General features: G+C 32.7%; 1 long non-coding RNA gene across 1 annotated transcript in view; it reads right to left on the bottom strand.

Moving 5' to 3' along the window:
* Positions 1-3,985: 3,985 nt before the first annotated feature.
* The window catches only part of LOC101927145 (uncharacterized), an 87,617-nt gene continuing 83,257 nt past the window's right edge, over positions 3,986-8,345 (bottom strand). Inside the window, exon 3 of the long non-coding RNA XR_938809.3 lies at positions 3,986-5,039. This is a non-coding gene — a long non-coding RNA (uncharacterized LOC101927145). The remainder of the gene's footprint in view (positions 5,040-8,345) is intronic.

Below are 8,345 nucleotides of genomic sequence, written 5' to 3'. Positions count from 1 at the left end.
ACAGATATATATGCATTCCCTGGAGAATGCCAGAAGATCAAAAGTATACTCTGGTAGAAGCCCAGATAGAATGTAGTCAGGTGAAATTTCAGCTATCTGCTCTGCATTAGAGGGAAGGGTCACATGACACACCATCTACTATATCCTAGGATATTTCATCAGCATTATTATTAGATTAATAACTATGTATTTAATTATACATATTGTGAATACATAATCATTTTTTAAAAAGAGTAAATGCATCCAAGATTTGATTTTATTTTGGTGTATTTGACTAGTTTAAAATTCTATGGCTTAAAAAATTTAAAGGCTGTACAGGTCTCAGACTAAGTAATTTTTATTATGTATTCACCTATTAATTTTAACTTCTAAAATCTACTAATTCATAGCTAGCTCTTTTTCTCAGTAAAATCTAGGTTATTATTTCTCAAATGCCTGAATAGTCTCTTGGACTTTTGTCATTCACTGGCAGGAAAACTAATGCAACTCAGTGGCGAATCTAGAAATGAATCTGACCATCATTCTCAGACTATATGTGAACCAGGGCTTTGCGTAGATTGGCAAGTGAGGGAGAGGAAACAACAAAAGGCAATGAAATGAAGAAGTGAGAGAATTGTAATGATAATAGAATAGGGAGACTTCCCTTCCCCTTTTTCTCCATTTTGAACACAAATGCAACTCTAGGTGCATTTTAAGCATGAATGGACTCTACACTGGATATACCTACACATGCTGACGCACACAGAAAATCATTTAATGTATTATATCCCTCATCTCTTGAAAAGAAGTCATATCTTCCTGAAGACATGTAATCTATATATTACCTCAGAAGGAATAAAACTTCAGAAGAATTGTTTTAGTTATACTTAAGAAAATATTATATGATAATTCTTACCTAAAATTTTGTTGGTAAGGACCTCAGTACCATATATATAGAGATAGAGGTAAGGACCTCAGTACCCTATATATATATAGCTAGGTATAGTGCTTTAAGAAAATGTAATGCGTTTAAAATAAGAAAATATTATACCTTTATTCCTATTATATGTTTATTAATTTTATGTTTCAAGGTACATCTTCTAAATTATATTTTAGGAATTTCACAAAGTAAGAAATTAAGAAATTAAAGACAGATTTCTATACTTATAAAAATATGGTCTAATTATAATGTAACTTTAATGTAAATGAGAGTTGCTTCACAGATGCTAAAAATAAAAACTGTTGGTGACTTTTTAAAAAATCTCATAGTTATTACACAGTGTCTAGGATCTTATATTGTGGCAGATTTACTATTATTTTAAATTAATAGAATATAGTTAGAACTTTGTAGAACTATGAATTACATTTTAACTGAAATTTGTTCTGAGATTCAATGTAATTGTAATTTTTGCCAGCAGTAGTATAAATTGTATAGCTTTAAAAGTTATGACTCTTACATTTACTCCTTAAATTTCTTTTCATCTAATTTGCCTCAGCAAGTCACAAGGTGGTTAGGTACATTTCCTTTCACTTACAAATATTGAATTCATTCAAAAATGTTTATCAGATTTGGGTCAGAAGAAAATGGATTCAACACACATAAGAAATGAATGAATGATTAAATAATTGAATATTCTTTCCAATTGATAGTGACTTTTTCTAAACAGAGATATATAAATCTAATTTTAATTGCATTTTTCAGTGACAACTAAAACATTTAACTTGTGTTGAGAAATAAAATTTATTTATGTTTTAACTATTTGTTATACTACCCCCTTTGATTTCTAATGTATAATTTCACAAACAGCTTATATTATACTCCATCATTAACACAAAAATATACTCCTGGTTCCTTATAATTATACTGTGCAATTACATTCGTATCATATTTCATCATTCAATATATGAATATCACAAATTCTAGCTGTTTGTTCCATTGGTTAGGAAAGAAAACATTATATACAATGTAGCTTACATACACAAAGGTTCTTATTGAATTTGATGTTTCAAATAACACACTTGACAATTTTGTTGTTGTCAGTGATAAGAGTGCAACTCAAACAAAACAAATGTCCTTTGCTGTCAAAGACAAGGATACCTCATGTCCTGAATGCCATCACAGGCAGGACATTGCTTCCACTGGTTTGAAACAGGAATTTCAAGAAGGAAAAGGGAAAGTCTTCTTGACAAACTGCATTCTTAAAAAAATGTCCATCAATCATAGGAGGGAAAAAAACCTTTAGATTAGATGTTACTAATGCATGCATTTAAATGAAAAAATCAGTGTGATAAATAAACCACACAAATCTTTTAAAGATCACATACTAGAAATACAGTTTGGGGTATATTCTCCTCAAATTCAGCGTTACTAATATCTTGCTCAGTTATCTGTGTTACGATCTAAGTGGACTGGCAACTAATTACCCAGGTACGTTTGCTTCCAGAGTAACAAGTCCTTTTATTGCATTTTCTTTCCTTTGCACCTTGCCACAGTCTTTTTTTTTTTTCTATTAAGAAACACTTTGCACAGTTTGGAGAGGAAAAGTCTTCAATTTTCAATTGCCTTTAGGATGAGGTAAGAAAATTAATTAAATATATTATTCTATTTATTGACTGGAAGACATCAATGTCATTATTTACATTTCTCAAAATATTGCTACCTATCACAAAGGCAAATCTGATTTGGGAAATAAATCCCAGTCCATGAGAAATGGGATTAAAAAGTAGTTGCTCACAAATGAGTAGAATTTAATCAATAATTCTTGGTAATCCATCTTATCAGTAAGTTATTGCAGAACTCATATATATTTCATGATAAAAAGATATAAAGTAAAATAGGGTGAAATATCATTTTTTTCTCTGAAATTAATAGAATAAGAACATAAAGATTTAGGAGGCATTTGTGTGTTTGGGACTCAGTGTGAGTGAGGTGTTAGATGAATTGGCTAACAAAGAGCCTGTGCTTAAACCTGTAACTGAACTGGAAAAATATTGTCACTAATGGAAAAAAGGGCAGAGGCTTTACATCTTTCCCATATTCCATCTCGCTGTGAAGTCAATGGGGCAAGAAATATAGTCAAGTACAGAGCAGAGATTCATGGCTGAGAACTCACTGAGAAACAGTTTAACATCTTAGAAAGAACAGAGAAGGCATCCCTAGTCATTAATTATCGAAAAGTCACAATAAAAAGCATTGCGTTGAGCCTGCTATCCACCAAACTCATAGCGTTTAGCTGGGGGCAATATTATGTAGGACTTTGAGATGGAATTTGGGTGTCAGACAACATAGGCTCTTTTTCTGGACCTATCACTTCAGTGTTTTGTAACTTTGGCAAACCCAATTAATAATCTTTCTCGGCTTTCATTTCTCCTTATTGAGAAATGAAGCTAATACCTACAATACTGAAGTACACCTATGCCTGCAAGTCAATTTCTGCTGCTTTAGACACTGCACTGATGAACTTTATATATTGACTTACAATAACTTCCTGCAAGTCACCAGTTGATTAAATCACCATGGTACTCCATTAGTTACTGATAGTCTTCTTAAGATCTTAAAGTAAAGATCTGTTTAAAGTGATGACTTTGAAAGTTTTACAGTAAGTCAAAAGCTGTATACTTGCCAATTCCTCTAGGTAAAGGAAAAAAAGATCTATGATTTGAACAAAAAAGATAAATTCTACCTAACATAACCACATTAGGTGAGCAAGTTCAAACCGTCCAAGAAAACTGACAGGAAGAGTAGACAGCATGTCCTTTTATTTTCAGATGAAACTATTTGAATGGCGTTAACTGGAATTTCTTGCCCTATGTTGCTGACAGAACTTTGTGTAACATTCATATAAAATTTCTGGATATTTATGTCTGTGATGAAAGATATTTCTTATGAAAACAATATCTCATTCTACATTTAGGACATATGACTTGTTCTTGCAATGAGTATCTAAAGATCATTCATAATTTTTCTAATTCATTATAATAATTCTAACAAAGAAAAAGATGAATATAAAATTAAGATATATTTTATTATTAAGTATTGAAAAACTAAAAAAGCAAAGTCATTTATATTACTATAGTCAGACTTACTCTTGCAAATACATTTTAAGCAATAAAACTGACTATTCTATGCAGTTCAGATGCCCATTGGCCTTCTTTCTGTTTCTCAACCACCTCGCAGGCTTTGTGAAAACACCTTTGCAAAAACTATAACAGTGACAAAATTATGGGAGTGAAAGAGATCTGATCTAACCCACCCCATCTTGCCTCTAACCTCCAGACTATCCTTGTTTATTCCTGGGCACAGGCTGAACTCACTTTAGGAGAAATTTAGTTTATAGTTTAATTTGAAACTAAGATGGTAACTGCTCCTTCTTGAAATAAACCCCTTTTTGCCTGGGGACCAGGCTTCCTTTACAAGGCACAGAGAGAGATCAAATTTCAATGGCTAGTTTTCTCTCTTTTCTTTCTCTATCCCAACTCTAAATCTACCATCCCTAAAAAAGTGGAGGGGGGGTCGGGAGAGAAGGTTTAGAATGCCCTTCCTGTTGCCCATTGCCCATCCTTTGTCCCACCAAATGTTGCCAAGAGCCTCAGCAATGGATACTATTTACTACCAAGGGAATTCTTTTGGAGAATGCCCAAAAGTAAATTGGTTCAAGATCATGAACCTTGAATGCTCTCTTGAGGTGTCTGGCGATTTAACAGTAGATAACTCAGTGCCACTAAAGGTATTTGTTCGAAACTTTGGCAGTATCATGTCTGTGTTTTGCAAAGAAACTTAATGAAAATGGAGAGAATAGAGCTACACAGAGACCGGAAAAGTCAAGCAGCTATTTTAACGGTTTAGACTACAGATGTTGAGTTTCTAACTTACTGCAGCGTCAGTAAGGTTGTAATCAGAAAAGACAAATTTGAGAGATATTTCAGGAATAATCTTTAAGAGACTCAGTGAAAATTAAGGGGCAGGCAAATGTGAAGGATGACTTTCTTGTTTCCATCTTGAGTCATAACTTGGATGGTATTGACATGCACTGATGCAGAGTCAGAAGAGCAGATTTGGGCTGTGGATGGAGAGAGGACAATGAGTTCAAGGAAGAAAAGAGATGAAACAAAAGATACAATCAGTGTAAAAGTAGGTTGGCATGCTCAGGCTATAAAACCCAGGATTTACCACAAAGAATATGAGTTCATCTTCTCACACATTAACCAATCAGAAGAGTTTGACCGTAGGCTTTCTTGAAAGTGTGGCACACAGCTGTGCCACCAAACTGGTAGACATCTTTAAAAACTCTTTTTAAACTCTTATGCTCCTATGTTTTATTTCCAAAGGTATTAACAATCTCTCTTTCCTTCCACTTTGTCCCAGTGCTACCACACCGCCACACTGCTCACCTGTCATTGTATTTCCTCCAAGCTTTGATACATTTCCAGCCATGACTAACCATTTGGAAAGTATCATCCATCATCCACTAACTGAATTCTTGAGATGAGCAGTTTGCCTAGAACCCTACTAGATAATGTCTTTTTTTAAAAACACATCATAGATTTGACAGTTATCAACTTATGCAAATACTATAAAAAGTGGTAACATTCGTGGAAGGTACAGAAAAAAATTTGCTGAATCCAGTTGGATCCAATGTGGGAGGAAAGAACACAAGTGGTTAAATACAAGGAGGCAAGGATCATTGATGATTACCAAAATAGATAAAATAGAAAATTTTTGCTCAAAAATTAGAATTTTGTTAAATTAAATCTGAAAGATCAATATAGTAGTGCTAATATATAATGATAAGCTTATTTTATTCACAGTTAAAAGTGAATATTATCAAATCACATTCAACTCATTGTTAAATTTTAATGTTCAAAAAAATGTATTTTCAAACATCCTTATCTTTGTCAAAGATACCTTTACATTTGGGAATGTGAACTAAGACCATATTGATAATCATTAAAATAAATTCAGTTGAATCCAAGTAAAGTTTGAAACGTAAACTACTTCACAGATCATGTTAGAAAGAGAAGTCATGTAAATTATAAACCTTAGCATATTAACAGTCAAATTAAGTGGACTCCTATTTATAATCATAAACCCACACATTGAAATCATTATGGGAATTTTTCATAAATCCAAATGTCTAAATAAGGGTACCTAACTCAATTATATATTAATAAGAAATTTTACTTTGCTGTATATCAAAATAATGGGAAAAATGAGCTTACTTGCTAAGCAAATGTTTAGCACACATTCTTTAATCTATGTTGTCTTTCTGTCTCTCTCTCTCTGCCTGCCTGCTCTCTCTCTCTCTCTCTCACACACACACACACACACACACACTCACACACACACACAGAGGCTATTCATCTTTCAAGGTGCTTTATAGATGCAGTCGTCTATGTTTTATAGTTTATTGATCATAATGTCATAAAAGATCTACAATTTCTGGAATAATTACATTATGCCTGTTTTGTTTTTTCCTTATTGTTAGTATTTTACACAGAATACTATCCTTTGACTTTTTTTAACCCAATAACTATTCAACAATCAGTATATTATCTGAACATCCAAAGTGATATTTTTAGATCTCTGCAATATCAAAAACCATAGAAAAAAGTTTGTAAAAGTGTCTTAAAGGCAAAATCTACTTCATTGTCTCCTCCACCACAAAACAAAGTACTGTGCCTTGCACTTAGAAGGTATTCAGTAAATGTTTATGTCGTTTAATAGCATGGAGTGAAGGGAAGATACTGTAATTTCATAAGATCTTTAAAAAACAATTTGGTCCAACGTGAAGAAAATTATGCATAGAATACTGCCATTAATTTTGGAAAGGGGAAATAATGTATTTGCTTACATTATTCAAAAATGGAGAAATGAACCTAAAACAAACAAACAAAACCAGTTTTCAGATCTAAGGAAATAGAGTCAAAAGAATTATATAAATATTTTCCAAAACTACTAAACAGAAGTTGTTTTTAAATTTTAAAATTCTAACAAGTTAATAAAAAATTGGCACAGCTTGTATAGAATTAATAAAAATAACTACATTGGGAGGAAATATTTCTTTCAAGTGAGTGTTAAAACAGAGTAAATTGGTTGTTTATTCCCAATGTGGTATACACTAAGAAAAAAATGAGAAAAGAAAAAATCCTCAAACTGTTTTCAGTAATCAGACTTTTGAGTGCTACTACGGTTTTCCTGAATGTGCTACACAGGACAAAGCAAATAAATAATAATGATATCATTAAGAATTGGAATTTTGATCATGAGAGAAAGGCGACACATATGTGAGAGGAATTTGGTTAAGAAAAAAATCCTGAATTCCTGAATTTGCTAAATTTGACTTGGAGTATAAACATGAACATATGATATATTGTATATATTTTTTAAATATGTGATACTTCTGTTCACTAAAAAAAGTGAACTGGGCAGTACTATTGTTCTTGGGCAGCAGAAACAAGTATTCTTTCACCCAGATTTTTGTCTCCAAATGGCATTTCTCATAAAGGAGCTAGGGTTCTTAAAAAAATTTTAGATTTCAAGATGGGACAGCAAATATACATGTTGCATCTAGAACATATTGTCAAACCAGACAGTAAGAATACAAAGACTGTTGTGATCATCATAAAAAGGACTCAGGAGCCAGCTGAGAGAAACTCACACTATCCAAAGCTGGGAAAGTTTGAACACCAATAAGAATTACAATTTTACTTAGTTAAGACAAATTAGGTGTTCAAAATCCATAAGCGCTTAATAATATATATTTTTACAAAACAAAATTGATCAACCTGCAAAGATACTGGGAGCCAACTCGTTATTTTGAATACTGGTAAATAAGAAAATTACCAACACATCTATATTGTAGTTCTATCCTACATGCTCTGAACTCAGAGAAACAAATATTTGATGGAAGATAATTTTTTATTCATCAAGGTAGTTCAGATAATAATTAAAGTTATTTAATTACAATATCATCCTTTTATAACCCTTTATGAAATAATGGATCCAGCAGTAATCATCAATGGCTACTAAATTCACAAAAAGAGAAACAGTCAGATATTAAGGGCTTTTTACTGGAAATATAATAGTACCTGTCAAATCTTTTTGCCAAAAAAAATTCAAGCCTCAGTCTGATCAATTTATAAGAAAAGGAGCAGTGGACCCATTCAGAAATACCACAAGAATGTGATCAGGGCACAGTGGCTCACACCTATAATCACAGAACTTTGGGAGGCCAAGGCAGGTGTATCACTTGAAGTCAGGAGATGGAGACCAGCCTGGCCAACATGGTGAAACCCCATCTCTGCTGAGAATACAAAAATTAGCCAAGCGTGGTGCTGCATGCCTGTAATCTCAGCTACTCGGGAGG

Source organism: Homo sapiens, chromosome 4 (genome assembly GCF_000001405.40).
Source record: "Homo sapiens chromosome 4, GRCh38.p14 Primary Assembly".
Lineage (NCBI taxonomy): Eukaryota > Metazoa > Chordata > Mammalia > Primates > Hominidae > Homo > Homo sapiens.
Note: the sequence above shows the minus strand (reverse complement) of the source record. Positions and strands in the feature narration are given on the sequence as shown.